Source organism: Homo sapiens, chromosome 15 (assembly GCF_000001405.40).
Source record: "Homo sapiens chromosome 15, GRCh38.p14 Primary Assembly".
In the NCBI taxonomy this organism is placed as follows: Eukaryota; Metazoa; Chordata; class Mammalia; order Primates; family Hominidae; genus Homo; species Homo sapiens.
The window spans coordinates 75,163,375-75,182,696 of NC_000015.10; the positions used below are offsets into that span (position 1 = coordinate 75,163,375).

General features: G+C 48.0%; 2 annotated features.

Annotated features, from left to right (window-relative positions):
• Nucleotides 14,043-14,602: an enhancer, noted in NCBI's record as "H3K4me1 hESC enhancer chr15:75469758-75470317 (GRCh37/hg19 assembly coordinates)". NCBI's record gives its function as "activates a minimal SCP1, AML or CMV promoter by ChIP-STARR-seq in primed H9 embryonic stem cells {active_cell/tissue: H9 hESC(primed)}" and the evidence as "EXISTENCE:reporter gene assay evidence [ECO:0000049][PMID:30033119]".
• Nucleotides 14,159-14,258: an enhancer, noted in NCBI's record as "active region_9838". NCBI's record gives its function as "activates an Ori minimal core promoter by ATAC-STARR-seq in GM12878 lymphoblastoid cells {active_cell/tissue: GM12878}" and the evidence as "EXISTENCE:reporter gene assay evidence [ECO:0000049][PMID:35858748]".

Below are 19,322 nucleotides of genomic sequence, written 5' to 3' on the forward strand. Positions count from 1 at the left end.
GAGCGGTATAAACTATATAGAGTAAACTCACAGTACAGAGTCTGTTACTGCCTGATAGTCTGTTACTGCATGAACTGTGACTCTCAAGTTCCAGTGCTACAGTGACCACAGCATCTTATCAGTTTCAACAGAAGAGGGTTGATTATTTGCATATTTATTTATTTATTTGAGATAGAGTCTCGCTGTCTCTCAGTCTGGAGTGCAGTGGCATAATCTTGGCTCACTGCAACCTCCACCTCCAGGGTTCAAGCAATTCTTATGCCTCAGCCCCCCAAGTAGCTGGGATTACAGACATGCACCACCAGGCCCAGCTAATTTTTGTATTAGTAGAGATGGGGTTTCACCATGTTGGCCAGGCTGGTCTCAAACTCCTGGCCTCAAGTGATCCGCCTGCCTCGGCCTCCCAAAGTGCTGGGATTACAGGTGTGAGCCACTGCCCCCGGCCTACAAACCTGTCTCTGTTAGCAGAATACATAATTGTCTATGCAGAAAATCACAAAGAATCTACAAAAAAGCAACTATAACTAATAAGTGAATTTAGCAAGGTTACAGGATAAAAGGTTAACCGAGAAAAATCATTATGTTTCTATATATTAGGAATGACTGATTAAAATGGGAATTTAAAAAACGGTGCCATTTTAAGTACCATAAAAAACATGAAATACTTGGCATAAATCTAACAAAACAAGGTGCCAAGTCAATTCAATGAAGAAATAACAGTCTTTTCAACAAATTTTGCTGGAAGAATTAAACATTCAATTTTTAATTTTAATTTTAATTTTATTATTTTTTGAGATGGGGTCTTGCTATGTTGCCAAGGCTGGTCTTGAACTCCTGGGTTCAAGTGTTCCACCTACCTCAGCCTCCCAAAGTGCTGGGATTATAGGTGTGTGCCACCACACCCAGCTAATTTTTGTATTTTTAGTAGAGACAGGGTTTCACCATGTTGGCCAGGCTGGTCTTGAACTCCCGGCCTCAAATGATCTGCCCACCTTGGCCTCCCAAAGTGCTGGGATTATAGGTGAGCCACTGCGCCTGGCCTAATTTGCACATTTATCAGAACTACAGCCAGATTTGAGAGGTTTGTGGAGCCAACATATGCATTAATCCTATCAAGATCAACAAGTTTAGCTACTTTGCATATAACCAATCATGTGAAGAAATGAATGGCAACAGCCCTAGGGAACCTGTGGCATAATCTGAGATATTATATAGATATAATTTTTTTTGGATATAATATTTCTATATAGTATTTTTTATATATGATATATAACATATTATGTATATACATCAATAGTATATATGTATGTCTTTGTCTCAGGTTCCTGGCACAGAGCTCCTGAAACCCTTGGTGTTTTCTCAGTAATAGAAGTGTGTTTTGTTATTCATAACAAGCCCCTTTGTTATACCTGAATTTATGCTAATGGGGTGACTTTGGGTGGGGCTCCTAGATAGCTACAGGGTGCTGCTCACTAGAAAGAGGAAACGTGATTAGAGGGTGGAAACAGGGAGGGGACCTGAAGATTGGGTTATAAAGACAATAAGGGTTGGAAGCTTCCAGGTCGATGAATGCTTCTAAGTGCTGCAGGTGGGGAGTGGGTGTCCTCGATGGACTTGCCACAACCCACACCCCACATACCTTGACCTAGGTATCTCTCCCATTTGGCTGTTCCTTTATATGCTTTTTAATAAACCTGTAAATGTAAGTAGTGTTTTCCTGAGTTCTGTGAGTCATTCTAGGAAGTTAGAGAACTTAGGGGGTGGTCATGGGAACTCCCAATTTTTAGCCAGCCTAGTGGAAGTGTGGGTAGCCTGGGCAGCCCACTTGTGCTGGCCTCTGAAGCACTCTTGTGGGACTGAGCCCTTTAACTTGTGGGATCTTGTGCTTACTACGGATAGATAGTATCAGAATTTAATTGTTGGACACCTACCTGGTGTCAGAGAATTTATCTTTTTTTTTTTTTTTTTTTTTTTTTTTTTTTGAGACGGAGTCTCGCTCTGTCGCCCAGGCTGGAGTGCAGTGGCGGGATCTCGGCTCATTGCAAGCTCCGCCTCCCGGGTTCACGCCATTCTCCTGCCTCAGCCTCCCAAGTAGCTGGGACTACAGGCGCCCGCCACTACGCCCGGCTAATTTTTTGTATTTTTTTTTAGTAGAGATGGGGTTTCACCGTTTTTAGCCGGGATGGTCTCGATCTCCTGACCTCGTGATCCACCCGCCTCGGCCTCCCAAAGTGCTGGGATTACAGGCGTGAGCCACCGCACCCGGCCAATTTTAAATTATTATAACCAGGCTCAAACACATCTTTATTAATCAAAATAGGAACCATTACAATGAATACATTTTTGTGCTTTGGGATTTGACAAACTCTTGGAAAAGATTTTCTGCATCCTACTGGTTGTGGAAGTATTTTCCATGCAAAAAGTGTCAAAATGCTTGAAGAAGCAGCAGTTTGTTGGCGAGAGGTCAGGTGAATATGGCAGATGAGGCAAACCTTCATACATAGCTCAATTCATTCAACTTTTGAAGCGTTGGTTGTGCAACATATGGTTGGCATTATTGTGGAGAATTGGGTCCTTTCTGTTGACCAATGCTGGCTGCAGGCATTGCAGTTTTTGGTGCATCTCATGGATTTGCTGAGCATACTTCTCAGATGTAACAGTTTTCCAATCCAGAAAGCTGTAGTGGATCAGACTGGCATCGGACCACCAAACAGTGACCATTGTAAAAGTTCAAGAAAGAGGAAAGAAACACGAAACACAGCTGACAGTTAAAGACAGGTTTTCTTTTCTTTCTTTTTTTTTTTTTTTTTTTTGAGACAAGAGTTTCGCTCTTGTTGCCCAGGCTGGAGTGCAATGGCGTGATCTCGGCTCACAGCAACCTCTGCCTCCTGGGTTCAAGCCATTCTCCTGCCTCAGCCTCCAGAGTAGCTGGGATTATAGGCATGCTCCACCACGCCTGGCTAATTTTGTATTTTTAGTAGAGACAGGGTTTCTCCATGTTGGTCAGCCTGGTCTTGAACTCCAGACCTCAGGTGATCCGCCCACCTCGGACTCCCAAAATACTGGGATTACAGGCGTGAGCCACCGTGCCTGGCTGGTTTTCTTTAGATAAAACCTGAGAGGTGCTCCTGGCCGATTTTTTTGGTCAAAAGCGCTTTCTCTTACAGACTAAGAGGATATATTGGTTTTAGGGTGAGGGGGTTTATCAGAAGCTTGGAATGTTTATGTGTAGGGAGAAGCTTATGGCAGGGTTGGAATCTCTCTGGGAGGAGGGGAGGTTATTTTGGGGCAGACATCTTTCCGGCCTGGTGTGGGGTTATCTTGGGGCTAGCATGTCTGTGGTCAGGGAGGAGTTTGGAATGTTTCTGTCTGGAGATGTTATTTGTGGTTTATGGTCATGCTGACCTTAGCCATTAGGCTGATGCCCTTTGGATTAAGCAGTTTTTTATTAAGGTGAACTTTAGAATGAGGGGCTTGTCCAAGATGGCGATGCTCCTGCTCTGTCAAACATGACCCATTTTTGGTGCAAGTTTGGCTTTGGGAAGTGCTTTGGAGCTTCTTCTTGGTCCAATCACTGAGTTGGTCATCGCTGGTTGTATAAAATACACTTTTGTTGCATGTTACAATCCGATCGAGAAATGGTTCATTGTTGTGTAGAATAAGAGAAGATGACACTTCAAAATGACGATTTTTAAAGTTTTCATCAGCTCATGAGCCACCCACTTATCGAGCTTTTTCACCTTTCCAATTTGCTGCAAATGTGAATGAGCATAGAATGGTAGATGTTGAGTTCTTCAGCAGCTTTTCAGGTAGCTGTAAGAGGATCAGCTTCGATGATTGTTCTCAGTTGGTAGTTGTCAGTTTCTGACGGCCAGCCACTATTCTCCTCATCTTGAAGGCTCTCATCTCCTTTGCAAAACTTCTTGAACCACCACTGCACTGTACGTTCATTAGCAGCTCCTGGGCCAAATGCATTGATGTGAGTTGTCTCTGTTACTTTCTGATCCATTTTGAACTCCAGTAAGAAAACTGCCAGAATTTGCTTTTTGTCTAACATCATTTCCATAGTCTAAAATAAACAGCAAGTAACAAGTCATAAGCAAAAAAACATAAAGTGAGAAATGCCCATTAAAATGATGTATAACATAACCACATTTATTTAAGAATGTATTCTAATATCAAACAGTGAGTTCTAAAAATGCAAAAACCATAATTATTTTTGCACTCACCTAATATAATACAATATCTGGGTAATTTATAAACAACAGAAAGTATTTCTCACAGTTCTGGAGGCTGAGAAGCATATTGTGTCTGGAGAGGGCCTGTTCCTCATAGATAGTGGCTTCTGTGTCCTTGTAACCACCCAACAGTTTCACCTTGCCCGTTGCCCAGACAGCTGATTTATCAAGACAGGGGAATTGCAATAGAGAAAAAGTAATTCATGCAGAGCCAGCTGTGTGGGAGAACGGAGTTTTATTATTACTCAGATCAGTCTCCTAAAGCATTCAGGGATCAGAGTTTTAAGGATAAGTTGGTGGGTAGGGGCCAGTGAGTCGCGAGTGCTGATTGGTTGGGTGGGAGATGAAATCATAGGGAGTTGAAGCTGTTCTCTTGCACTGAGTCAGTTCCTGGGTGGGGCCACAAGATCAGATGAGCCAGTTTATCAATCTGGGTGGTGCAAGCTGATCCATTAAGTGTCTGTAAAATATCTTAAGCACTGATCTTAGGTTCTTAAAATCAAAATATCTTAAGCACTTAGATCCCAGGAGTGATTTGGGGAGGATCAGAATCTTGTAGACTCTGGCTGCATGCTAAACTGGAATTTCTAATCTTTTGGCTGATTTGTTAGTCCTGCAAAGGCAGTCTGTCTAGGCCCCAGACAAGAAGGGGATTTGTTTTGGGAAAGGGCTGTTAACTCTTTGTTTCAAACTATAAGTTAGTTCAGCCTACGCCCAGGAAGGAACAAGGACAGCTTGAAGGTTAGAAGCAAGATGGAATCGGTTAGGTCAGATCTCTTTCACTGGCTCAGTTACAATTTTGCAATGGCGGTTCATCCTCACTTAATGGAAGGGGCAAAGAAGCTTCCTTGGGCTTCTTTTCTAAAAACATGAATCCCATTTAAGAGGGCTTTACCCTCATGACTTAATCATCTCCTAATTATAATTTTGGGGACACATTCACACCATAATAGGTCCCCACTGCAGACTGTAATAACTCCGAACTTTCTTACTGAAACCGCCTTTCCAAAATTATGATTGAGACAGTAAAAGAGATCTAACTTAACTGACTCCATCTTGCTTCTAACCTCCAAGCTGTTGTTTTTCATTCCTGTGTGTAGGCTAAGCTAACTTTGGGAGAAACTTAGTTTATAGTTTACGGTTTAAAACAGATGGTAACAGCCTTTTCCCAGAACAGACCACCTTCTTGTCTGGGGACTAGACTGCCTTTGTAGGACTAACATTAGCCACAAGATTAGAAATTATGTTTTAGGAGCCATGCAGCTGGAGGCTACAAGATTCTGACCCTCCCTAAACTGCTTCTAAGATCAGTGTCTGAGATATTTTGCAGACCCTTTTCTTGATGGATCAGCTGGTACCATCCAGATTGATGAACTGGCTCATCTGATCTTGTGGCCCCCACCCAGGAACTGACTCAGTGCAAGAAGACAGCTTCGACTCCCTGTGATTTCATCTCTGACCAATCAGCATTCCTGGCTCACTGGCTTCCCCCAACCCACCAAGTTGTCTTTAAAAACTCTGCTCCCTTAATGCTGGAAGAGACTGATTTGAGTAATAATAAAATTCTGGTCTCCTGCACAGCTGGCTCTGTGTGAATTACACTTTCTCTATTGCGATTCCCTTGTCTTGATAAATTGGCTCTGTCTAGGCAGTGGTCAAGGTGAACTCCTTGTGTGGTTACAAATTTGGGGGCTCATCTGGGATTGCCCTTGTGGCTACCTGCCTGGGTTTGGTGGCCCCTCTCTAGCAATGGATCCAGAGGCCAGCCCAAGCGGCTGCCTAGTTCTTTTGGACTGGGGGCCGACTCTGGTACTCTACTGGTAGGGTGCTGCTGACCCAATGTGCATGGATTTAATTGTAGTAGAGAAACAGTCCTGGGGAGATGTCCCTCAACTGTAGCCCTGTCACAGGGTGTCTGTAGCCCCGTTGCAGGGTGTCTGGGTTGGCGAGTATCCTAGGCTCTGCCAATGCCTCCTTCCTTCTCCTGACTGGTTCTGTAGTTCCATGGTAGGGTGTCTATAGCCCCATTGCAGGATGGGGTGTCTGTCTCGGTTTGGCTCCTGGCAGGGGGTGGTTGGCTCTCCCTAACTAGTAGGAAGAGCCTTGGTTCAGGAGACCTCCACATTCAGGAAGATTTTGAGGTGATTTCTCAGACAAAGAATAGGATAGTTTGGAAGGGATACTCTTAGAGTTCTTGGTTAGGTATCTGATTCGGAAGGCCTTCTGTCCTTGTCTTTGTGTGTGTTTGTATATGTGGAGGGGATCTCAGAAGGAATTGCTGATGGACGTCCAGCAGGCCTACCTCAAAGAACCCTCCTTATTTGTCTGGTTACGTTCAATGAGCCCTGAAGAAAGCTCAACAGGCCTGTCTTGGGTGACTATCTGCTCTTTGCCTTGCCCAGAGACCCCATTGTGAATCATTCGGAGGTCATCCTTCCCCACCTGGAGTAGATCAAAGACAACAAGGACCAACAGGAAGAATGTTGAGCGTTGCCAGGTTGATACTGGGTGCTGAAAAAGGTGACTAATGTCTGTTTTGTTATGTGTATTTTCCTGGGATGGAAAATGTTAATTCGGTTTGCTCCTCAGGCAGTGCCTCCCATGTCTCTTCTGCAGGACAGAAACTTTTATCTAAATAGATGAAATAATTCTATTATATATTGAGTACCTTTATGTTGAATAATCCTATAATATGAATGATTTTGGAATGCCACCCATCTTAGCCTGGGTCATCTAAAAAACAGAGCTTGGGTCAAGGATTAAGGTGGCTGTGGAGGCTAAAGCAACTCCATCTTGGATGCCAACCTGCCATGTTGACTTCTGATTAACCCCTGTTCAAAGAATGCCTCTAAGACTTCTAATTTATCTACTGCTACCATAAACCCTGCTCCTAGGTCAAAACAATCTTATTTTTTGTTTTGGGGAGCGTAAATCCTCCCCTTAGGCAGATTCACATAATACTTTTGCCTTTCCCTGCAGGGCCAACTTCAGTTGTCCTACACATTCTTTCCCTATGGTATATAAGCCCTTGGTCTGGGGGATAATGGCAGGGCTCCACCATCTCCTCTTGCAGCTACTGAGACAATGGCTTCTGTGCCTAAGTTATTATTAAATGTTTCTTTCAGAGAAACTACATTTGTCAGCCTCTGTCTTTGGCCTCTCAGCTTCCTCAGCCTTTAGGGATAGGTTTACATAGGGCTGCTCCCCGGGAACAGTGCCAATACTTTATCTGGGAGATGCCAGCCCAGGATGGTGAGAGTGAAGAATGAGGGAAGTAAGGCCAGGGCAGATGGAATGCAAAGTGGCTGATGTGCTACTGTGCTGGCCACAGCTTCATGGCTAGCCTGGGTGAGACACAGCAGGTCGCTCAGCAGGCATGTCGCTCTGCATGGGGACTTGTCCAGAGGGATGCAGGGAACTGCACCTTGGAGCAGTCCAAGGAGAGAAAAAGGAGGGAGAACTTACCTTCCCAGTTCCTTCCCATCTCCTGTTTCTCATAGGTCAGGTTTCACCTGGCAGGTGCGGGGAGCTAACTCATCCATACTTTTGTGTTTCATCACCGAACTCCTCAGTAGCCAGTTTCATACCTTTTTTGATGTGGAATGTTATCCAGTTCTAAAAACGGAGGAGTGACCTGGCACTGGTCTTATGCCAATCAAGAGAAATGAAGCAGATTGCTGGGGGAATCTGAACAGGCACCCAGGGTTTGCATCTCCAGTTTTTGGGGCTCCAAAATTTTGGAGTTCCACAAATTACTCTGAGGCCAGTAGAGGTTGGTGTAATGAGTTCATCATGGGTTGACACACAGTTTCTCCATCTATGAAATGAGGGGGCTGGCTAAGGATGAGCTTCCTCCACATCGCCACCGTCCCTGCCCCCCACAGTTCTGTTTCCTGGGGAAGAAGGCCAGCAAAGGCCCAGCACAGTCACCTACTTTTCCCTACCATGTCGCCACAAACCACTCTCTCAACACAGCCCGCCAAGGCCCAAGAGTTCCATCCACATTTCCCAGTACCACATCCTGTGTACCAGAAAAAGCACACAGAAGTGAGTCAGACCTTCTCTCTACTATCTGATTGCTAATGATAATAATAGCCACCCTGTTTCCATCCTGTGGTATTGAGCGCCAGCTCTGTGTCCAACATCTACACATGAACATAAACACAGGCAACTTGTTTAATACTCAACTCAATCCTGAAGATATGCATCATGTTCCCATTTTACACATGGAGAAAGTGAGGCTCAGATACGCCCTGGGATTTGCCCAAAATCACTAAGGAGTACACAGGGCCAGGTTTAGACTCAAACAGCCTATGGTTTGAGTTTCTCTCTTATTTTTTTCTTTTTTTTTGAGACAGGGTCTCGCTCTGTTGCCCAGGCTGGAGTACAGTGGCATGGCCACGGCTCACTGCAACTTTGACCTCTCAGGTTCAAGTGATCCCCCAGCCTTAGCCTCCCCAGTAGCTAGGACTACAGGCATGTGCCACCATGGCCGGCTAATTAAAAAAAAAAAATGTTTGTAGAGAGGGGGGCTCTCACTATGTTGCTTAGGCTGGTCTTCAACTCCTGGGCTCAAACAATCTTTCCAGCTTTAGCCTCCCAAAGTGCTGGGATTACAGGCATGCGCCATGGCGCCCAGCCTATGGTTTGAATTTCTGTGGGGAAACCTATAGAAGAACATGCTGGAGAAGGCCCACTATTCCTTCACCATGTGGCTTTTATCAACATGCCATGGAGGTGGTTTGTGTCCACTGCACCTGCACACACTTCAGGACAAGGTTCCCCGGCTGCTTCCTGCCTGTATGTCTGTATGTTTCTGTGAGTGCTGACCTGCCCCAGTGAGGCTCCTGCCCTTCTTTCACAATGCAACACAGTCCTGAGAGCCATGGGCTGGGCCTGGGCTCCCAGCAGCGGGATTACCATCTGGACAGAGCTGGGGGTATGCAGAGTGGGGCTGCTTGCATCAACAGGCTGTGGGGGCGTCTCGTCCTCTGCCCACATTTGCAGCCCTCTTCCCTGGTGAGACACCCCTTCCAGCAGCTGGCCCAGAGCATCTGGCCACTCCTGAGAAATGGAAACTATACCTTCCTGGACTGGGGCCAGCGTGGTTTGAGAAGCGCCCCTTTCAAATTCCCTTTGTCAGGAAGTTGATGCCTGGGCCATCACTCATTCATGTCAAGGGAATGATTATTCTTGATACATGGAAATATTTCTTAAGCCAAAAAGCTGTTGTTCTAGATTTACTAAAACTAGGTCAATAATTTGGCTTCAATCCCCAGGACAAATATCAGTATGGAGAAAACTTTTACAGTTGTGGGTATTCTCTAGACCAACGAATGCAACCAATTATACATTGCACAGATGGGCAGTGAATTGAGTGTTTCAAAATGTTATCTTTCACCTGTTTAGAAACAAAAGGTCAATTTTTGGAAAGTATTTCTCAAAAAGAGAAAAGCGGCACCATGCAGATATAAAAATGGAAGCAATGGTGCAGATGGTGGATGATAAATTTCTGTAACAAAGGCTGTATTTTTTTGTTTGACAAGTTTTTGCCAAGTTGCGTGCATGCTTCCCCAAAGTAGGGGAGATTTCTGAGGAGGGAGGTGAGTCACCTGGCCTTTACTTCCCTCAAGGCACCCAGGTTTCTCTAATGTGGGGACTAAAAGACTAAAGTTCCTAAGGAATGATCCTGCTGGGCCACTCTTTTTTTTTTTTTTTTTGAGATGGAGTCTCACTCTGTCACCCAGGCTGGAGTGCCGTGGTGCAATCTCGGCTCACTGCAACCTCCGCCTCCCGGGTTCAAGCAATTCTCCTGCCTTAGCCTCCTGAGTAGCTGGAATTATAGGTGCATGCCATCACGCCTGGCTAATTTTTGTATTTTTAGTAGAGACAGGGTTTCACCATGTTAATCAGGCTGGTCTCGATCTCCTGACCTCAGCTGATTCACCCGCCTCGGCCTCCCAAAGTGCTGGGATTACAAGCATGTGCCACCATGCCCAGCCAACCTGCCCACCCATTCTTATCTCACTTGGATAACACATATAGTAAGGCCCCCTTCAGTGCAGCCCACAGACAGAGCCCTGCACTTGGAAGGGCCCAACCAAGCTTGGTTGAATGCACTAGGACCAAGCAGTACTTTGAAATTCTTCGTAATTTAACTTTGAATTTGTCTTTTTTTTTTTTTTTTTTTTGAGACAGAGTCTTGCTCTGTCACCCAGGCTGGAGTGCAGTGGCGCAATCTTGGCTCACTGCAACCTCTGCCTCCTGGGTTCAAATGATTATCCTGCCTCAGCCTCTGAGTAGCTGGAGCTGGGATTACAGGCACGTGCCACCATGCCCGGCTAATTTTTGTATTTTCAGTAGAAACGGGGTTTCACCATCTTGGCCAGGCTGGTCTTGAACTCCTGACCTCAGGTGATCCACCTGTCTCGGCCTCCCAGAGTGCTGGGATTACAAGTGTAAGCCATCATGCCCAGCCAAATTTGTCTTTTGTAAGTGAAGTCCAATGGGGTCATGTAGCACGTGCTGAGGGCTTGGAATCTTGGCCTGAAGCATGGTCATGCCTCCTGCCACCTCCATGCTTCCCTGGAATGAGTTCTTGGCTATCCACTCCCTCAACCTCTGGTGCCCCAGTGCCACCCAGCCCCCTTGTCACCCCTGCCCTGCAACACTGCCACCCTTTGCTCCCTTGAGGGCCTGGGTGGGGGTGGGTGCGCCAGGGCCAAGTACATGCACCCCACAGTGTCAGAGCGGACAGGTGGTGGCCGTCCTGTCCCAGGCTGGCAGCAATATGCCATGTTCAGTGGGTGGCTTAGGGAGGGTGAGCCTCTCTCCACTCCTATCCCAGTCCCTAGTGCCTCCTGGCTACGAGGTTGGGACATAGTTGGGACTGTGGGCCTTTAGGAAGGGAAGATGCCTGCCTCTACTTCCCAATAAGTCTGTCTGGTGGCTGCTGGAACGGGGAGCCTGGTAGTTACTAGGTTCCACATGTGCCACCTCCCCGATCTGTGAAGGTCCGCTCTTGCCCTGTGCGTGTCCCGAGCTGGAGGGAGTAAGAACATTAAGTGTAAATTACCAAAAAACGCAACACCATGACAGGTTGTGAGAGGCATCATGGAAAAAAGGGAAGACATTCCCCCATGCATTTTGAACAGGGAACCTGCAATTTCATTTTGTATTGGGCCTTGCAAATTATATAGCAAATCCCACAGGCAGTGCTGTGTTGTGGCCTGCCAGCTCTCACTAGGTCACAGTTCACTTTCTGTGATGTCATGTTGGTAGCTTTGAAATGGCCACGGTGGGCCGGGCGCGGTAGCTCACGTCTATAATTCCAGCACTTTGGGAGGCTGAGGCTGGTGGATCATCTGATGTCAGGAGTTCGAGACCAGCCTGGCCAATGTGGCGAACCCGTCTCTACTAAAATACGAAAATTAGCTGGGTGTGGTGGTGGACGCTTGTAGTCCCAGCTACTCAGCAGGCTGAGGCAGGAGAATAGCTTGAACCCAGGAGGTTGAGGTTGGAGTAAGCCAAGATCTTGCCATTGCACTCCGGCCTAGGCAACAAGAGCGAAACTTGTCTCAGAAAAAAAGAAAAAAAGAAATGGCCATGGTGAGTATTAACAGCACGGAAATAGGGCAAACACTGCAAAACAGAACTTTTATTTTATTTTATTTTATTTTAGATGTAGTCTCACTCTATTGCCCAGGCTGGAGTGCGGTGGTGTGATCTCAGCTCACTGCAACCTCTGCCTCTCAGATTCAAGTGATTCTCCTGTCTCAGCCTTTTGAGTAGCTAGGACTACAGGTGCGTGCCACCTTGAACACCCAGCTAATTTTTGTATTTTTAGTAGAGATGGGGTTTCACCATATTGATCAGACTAGTCTTGAACTCCTGACCTCAGGTGATCCACCTGCCTCGGCCTCCCAGAATGCTGGGATTATAGGCATGAGCCACTGCGCCTGGCCTAGAACTTTAAAAAAATGTATGTAGAGCTGGTTTTTAACATTTACCAGCATAGCACTGTATAGAGTACCCAATAAAAGTCGGAAACTTCTTATCCTTGTTAATTTAATTGGTTAAATAGGGCAGGCCCAAACTTCTAGGAAGACAGTGCAGAGGCATGGAAGGAAGGCTAAGGAAGAAAACAGCTTAGTAAGTGCCAGGCACTGGTCCAAACCATTTCACCACCTTTTCAGGAATGAGGAAATAAGCTCAGAAAAGTAGTGGGACTCAACCAAAACCACACATCAGGCCAGCTACTGAGCTAACATTCGGACCCAATGTCCTAGCTCTTCTCACAGCAAAAGGAGAGGTGTTCTTTTTAAAACTAGAGATAGGGTCTCACTATGTTGCCCAGGTTGTTCTCAAACTCCTGGGCTTAAGCAATCCTCCTATCTTGGGCTCCCAAAGTGCTGGGATTACAGGCATGAGCCACCATGCCCAGAGAGGTTCTTTAGAGTCACATGTCTCTCTCTCTCTCTTCCTTTCCTTTCTTTCTTTTTTTTTCTTTTTTTTTCTTTCTTTCTTTTTTTTTTTTTTTGAAACGGAGTCTCACTCTGTTGCCCAGGCTGGAGTGCAATGGCACAATCTCGGCTCACTGGCAACCTCCACCTCCCAGGTTCAAGCAATTCTCCTGCCTTGCCCTCCCAAGTAGCTGGGACTATGACTATAGGCACATGCCACCACGCCTGGCTAATTTTTGTATTTTTAGTAGAGATGGGGTTTCACCACGTTGGCCAGGCTGGTCTCGAACTCCTGACCTCAGGTGATCCACCTGCCTTAGCCTCCCAAAGTGCACAGGGCCTCGCACAGGGTTCTGAACTCCAGGAATAAACTGGGGCTCAGGAGTAGGCAGGAGGGGGGCTGGCGAAGGACCTAGAAGTTCCCACCCTGGGCTCTTGATCTCTTGCAGTAACTTCACAGCCTGAGGCAGAAGCCTAGATGAATGAGAAGCAGGACAGAATGTTCCAGCAGCCACCAACTAGAGCAGAGACACAAATATTTACTAAGCCTAGGGGCCTCCCCAACATGCCGGCAGAGTTGGAGGGAACAAGTGTATGAGGCCTCTCTCTGTAAGGGCAGGGAATACATGGCAGGGAGAAGCCCCATGGAGAGGTCTCCCCTGACTCCAGCCTATCCGTCACATTGGTATATGAGTCCCTCACACCCTCAAGTATGTAAAGCCAGTCACAAAGCACCTTCTCAGCCATGGGCAGCGTGGGGAGCTGATCTCCATCTTATAAATGAGGAAACTGAGGCCCACAGAGGGAAGATAACATACCCAAAGCCAGAGGGCTGGGAAATGCTAGAGTCTGCAGTGGAAGGCTGGACTGGAAATGCTGCCCCCAATACCAGTAGTCTCCAATCCTGCATCTGCCCACCACACCCCCTCCCCAGGAACTTCTCTTGACCCTGGCTGGCCTCCTCCCTGACTGACCCCCAGACCCTCTTCTTTGGTGAGATCTTTTGCACCCTTACTTCCTGCAGCTCCCGGGCTGTTCTCTTCCCAGGTTAACCTCCCCTTTCTTCTTTTTTTTGAGACAAGGTCTCACTCTGTCACCCAGACAGGAGTGCAGTGGCACGATCATGGCTCATTACAGCCTTGACCTCCAGGGCCCAAGCAATCCTCCCATGTCAGCCTCTCAGGTAGCTGGGACCACAGGCATGTGCCACATTTTTAATTTTTGGTAGAGATGGTGGTCTCACTATATTGCCCAAACTGGTCTGAAACAATCCCCTTCCCCAGCCTCCCAAAGTGCTGGGATTACAGGTGAGTGCTATCCCACCCAGCCCATCCCCTTTCTTCCTATTTCCCACCTCAGAGAAGCCTTCTCACCTCACACCTCTCTCTCCAAATCGTGCCCCTCCTCCCTCATCTAGCTGAGGCCTGGCCTCTTATCCAGGAAGCCCTCCTGGACTGCTCCCAGTTACAGGGCTCTTGGGCTCTCAAGATTGCATGAAGTATGTTCATATTGTACTGTCTATTTAAAAAAAAAAAAGCGCATGAGAGACTAGCACACGGGTTTAGGTCCTAGTTGCAGCTGTCGCCAACTTCCTAGGGTGACCTCAGGCTCCCCTGCTCTCTCTGAGCCTCAGCTCCCTCATCTGTAGGCAGCCTGCCTGCCTCACCAGGGAATGGAGAGTCTAGATGAGAAAACCCTGGCAGTGGGCACAGGTCACAGCTGTTGGGGTTTTTGCTGGCATCAGCATTGCACCCTCTAGATCTGTTCCCATCCATTACCATCTGGCCACACACTGCCTTGTTCTTGCTCTCCCCTAGGGGTGGGAGGCCTGTGTCTGGCTGGAGAGCCCAGTTCGAGAGGGTGCTGTGTGTGCAGGGAGCCCTGCTGTTCCCCACTGGCCCCAGTGAGCCAGGCCCTGGCTTGGGGCTGGAAAGAGCCCAGGACTGGGAATCGCTGCCCTAAGTGAGGAGCCCCAACCCCTAAGCAGTTCTGCCCTTCAGCCCTTCAGGGTGTTAACTTTGCCTAGCCAAGAGCAAACTCTCTTTCTCTGTGCCAGGAGTAGTAGAGCCCCTGGGAAATGCTGTTTTTGTCCCCTGAGGCAGACTTTTGGGGAGTCCAAAAAAGGGCTCCCCACGGTGCCGGCTATCACAGAACAGGAGACAGGAGCAGGAGACAGGCCGGGAAGATGCGGCGACTGGGGGACCGGATAGGAGGGCCCTTGTCCTGAGGCTGCGTAGGCATAGCAAGCTCCGGGATTTTACTTCGTTGGAATGTTCTTTTGAGCTACTTTGGGGGCCGTGACTGAGAGAGCTCGTGGGGGACTCAGGCCCTTTCAGAGTCACCCGTGTGGCTCGGCCACTGCGCCAGGTCTTGGAACATCTAAGGCAGAAACAGGACCAACACCCGCAAGCCTCCAACAGCCCCTGGGGCTCCGTCCAGCCGTTGGGGTGGAGGGGTTGGGGGGAGGTGCAGGGGCGGGCACTGTGGGGGGTGGGGCGGGGCCGGTGGCCGCGACTCCACCCCGCGCCCCTAGTCGAGTAAACAAGCCACGGGCGGCGCCTGGGGGCCGCTCCTGCAAGCCGGGGCGCTGGGTTACATCACGGTTCCCTGGAGACTCCCGCCCCAGCGGCCGGGTCCCTGAGGCCCGCGCCCGCCCGCCGCCTGTGTCCGAGAAGCAGAGAGCTGGCAAGGGCCCGCCAGGGCGGGAAGGCTCCCACGTTTTCTCCGGAGGCCCCTGGGACTTTGTTGCAATTGGGTTCAGCCCGGGCATGGGCTGAACGTGGACGCGCGGGAACCGCGCCTCGGTTTCCCCATCTGTGAAACCTGGAGGCTGTATTAGGATTCTGTGCCTCCTATTAGGATTCAGCTGGGGGAAGGAGAGCGGCAGCCAGGGCCAGGGCCAGGGCCAGTCCCAGGCAGGCTGTGACTGGAGCCGGGCTTTCTACGTTAGGGTTTTGGTGGGTACCCGCTCAGCCACGTGCCAGAATGCACCCTCCCTCTGAGGGGACATGGAGACCACTCGCTGGGCCAAGGCACAGCAAGGACGACCTTGTATCCTAGCATTCTCCTGTCCCCACTTGCTGCTGGACACGGACCCTCTAGGTAAAATTCAACAATAGTTCCTGCCAGCCACCCTCACGGCGGGTTTGTGCCAGTGCTTTGGGAAAGATGTTGGGTTGCCCACTTAGGCGGGAGGGAGATTTCTGCTCAACATCAACAACTCAATCTACCACGGAGCCTGAGCCACTGGTCTGGAGGAAGCTGCGGGGGAGGCAGGGGTCGTGGGCACCCAGCTTGGGGACACTCAAGCAGAGTACGGGCTAGGCACGGGGAAGAAGGTGGCAGAGGGCATGCTTGCCAGCGTCTCCAGGAGCTGTCCTGCCCTGGGGTTCCATGATTTAATGATTCTGCACCTGCACCATCTGATAAGGTAGCCGCATATGACTGTTGAGCACTTGAAATGTGTGGGAACCCACTAGGAGCCCCAGAGTTGGCATAAACATTATTTTAAGCTGAAGACATTTGAGATTCAACAGACGCAGAAAAAAGCCTCCTAGGAGCTTCCTTTATCTGACAAAAAGCAGTAACTTCTGGGAAGTAAGGCTACCATAAACTCTGTCATAGGGGTAGTTTCATGGCCCCAAGAAGACAGAGCGACCACTCATACCTATATAGACAAATATTTCACAAACTTTATCACCTGTCGGTTCTCTTAAAACCCCATTTGTCTTTGCTAAAGAAACCTATTTGTTTTTCCCACAGAAGCCCTTTCTTTCCCCTCCCTTTTCCCTACTAAGTTAGGTATATAAGCCTTCAACTCTATTTAACCAGCCAGCTACGTCCTTTGTTGGTACGGTATGCAGACATAATAAACTTCTTCTCCTGTTAATCTGTCTTTTGTCAGTTTAATTCGAAAGCTGCAATCACAGAACAAGAGAGTGTAGAGGAAAAGTTTTTTCCTCTCCTGCAGGGGCTAGTACACATTGATATGGGCAGTAAGTGTAACATATACACAGGATTTAGGAGACTTAGCATGAAACAAAAGAATGTGAAATATCTTAATAATTTTGTATATGATTAAATATTGAAATGGTAACACAGGGTTCCATTAGATAAATTGGGTTCTCTTAAATATATTGCTAAAATTGATTTCATCTGTTTCTCCTTACTGTCTGCTAGAAAATTTCAGATAACATATGGCTCCTATTTTATTTCCATTGAATAGCATTGCTAAATGTCAGGTGACCTTGTGTCTTTGGGTTGGCTTTTCCCAAGCAACACCACCACATCTCTATTAACTGAATGCTCTTGTGTCGAGTCCTGAGCAGCGTGGGCAGTGGAGAGTGGAAGAGGAGGGGGCGCAGTGCCAGCCCTCGGGGAGCTGCCAAGCCCCTCTTGGCTTCCAACTTGGTCTGGCCACATCCTCCTGCAGTCCTGCTTCCCCTCCTCCACAGGACAGTCAGGCCAGCAGAAAGCTGGGCAGAGGGTTCTGGGGCTGGCCAGGGCTCTGAGAACTCAAGGAGGGAGTTCTGTGTGGGCCAAGGATTCAGAAGACAGTGTGGCCAGCAGCCAGGAACTATGACTGCACCGAGTGCTGTTCCCATGCCCAGGACCACAGATGCATCCCGGGCCTCACTGCCCAGCACCTCCCGGCTTAGTGGCCACAGAGTCCTCTTCCTGCTCTGCCAAGCACCATCTGGCTGTGGTGGAACAGGCTCCCCTGCTCTCCCATCCTCTCTGCCATCTCCCATTCCCTAGGCCTTGCTGGATTAAAACATTTTCCTGATAATCATTCAGGGATATAGGCTAAGGTCTGAGAAAGTAAGCTACCCTAAGGCCCCTGAAAAAATAAAACAAAATAACAAACTGTAGTTGGTATTTCTGATGAACAGCCCACACCTGGCAATTTAGAGGGATGGTCCCGGTTGGTGTGACCCAGGTTTAACCCCTGCAGCTGATATGAATGTGACAGCTTTACAGCCCTGTAAAGCTAACCAGACCTGTACATAGTTAAACAACCTTATCTAACATTCCTCCTTCTTCTCCTATATAAACTTGCTCATAACAGCCAACACTCACACCATGCTTATTGTGTGCTAGGCACTGCTTTGGGGATCTTACATGCTTTTTTGTGTGTGTGTGTGTGTTTTTTTTTTTTTTTTTTTTTTTGAGACGGAGTCTCGCTCTCTCCCCCAGGCTGGAGTGCAGTGGCCCGATCTCGGCTCACTGCAAGCTCCACCTCCCAGGTTCACGCCATTCTCCTGTCTCAGCCTCCCAAGTAGCTGGGACTACAGGCGCCCACCACCACGCCTGGCTAATTTTTTGTATTTTTAGTAGAGAGGGGGTTTCACCGTGTTAGCCAGGATGGTCTCCATCTCCTGACCTCGTGATCTGCCCATCTCGGCCTCCCAAAGTGCTGGGATTACAGGCATGAGCCACAGTGCCTGGCCGGGATCTTACATGTATTAATTCATTTAAGGCTGGGTGCGGTGGCTCACGTCTGTAATCCCAGCTACTCAGGAGGCTGAGGACGGAAGAATTGCTTGAGCCCAGGAGTTTGAGACTAGCCTGGGCAACATAATGAGACCCTGTCTCTACAAAACATAAAACATTTACCTGGGTGTGGTTGAGTGCATCTGTAATCCCAGCTACTTGGGAGGCTGAGGTGGGAGGATCTTTTGAAGCTGGGAGTTTAAGACCAGCCTGGGTAACACAGCAAGACACTCCCCCTACAAAAATTAAAATTAAAATTAATACATGTAATTTGGATTAAATTGGATTTCAGGCACAACAAACCCGTGAAGTGAGTGCTATTATTATCTGCTGTTCACAAGTGAGAAGCTGAGGCACGGAGAGGTTAAGTAAACTTGCTCAAGGTCACACAGCTACAAAGAGGCAAAACCAGGATTGCAACCCAGGCCATCTGGCTCAGTATCCGTGCTCCAAATCACTGCATGACATAGCTTTTCCCGCAATGCTGGAGGACTCGATTGTGTTTTGTTTTCCTAAACTTGTTCCCTTTTGTTTTCCTAAACTTGTTCCCAACTTATGATAAACCTGTGACAGGTGTTCATGATCCAAAAAGTGTCTGAGATTGGCTTTAACAAATTAAACATGAGATGGGAAAGTGACCAAATGCATGAGGAAGAAGAAAAAAATTCCAGAAGAATAAATCTTTCTACCATCCTTTGTCCATGTGTCTGTGTGGGTGGACAAGGGAATACTGTGTAAGAATGGGTGCAGCTTGTTCAAAGATAAACTGTAGTTGAAAGTTGCAGCCTGCATTGATAGTTGCCCCTAGTTTAGCAAGCTGCCTGAGTGGGCTCCGAAATGGAGACCTATCTGATTTGCAGAGGCAGGGCAGGAGGGCTAAATTGCCACAAATAAGAATAAAAGAACAGGCGTTTCAAACAGGAATGGGGGTGGGTAGAAACCCAAGAAGGCGTCAGCAAGCTGTGACCTGAGTGGGGTGTAGCAGCACAGGAAACAGCTCTGATGGGTTTTCAAACAAGGACGGCTACTGTTTAATCGTCCCCGTTGCTTGTGCTGAGCTGCGATGTCATTCTTCTCAATCTCCTGACCTTTGGTCAAAGCCTAACATCAACCCTGCTTTATGACCATC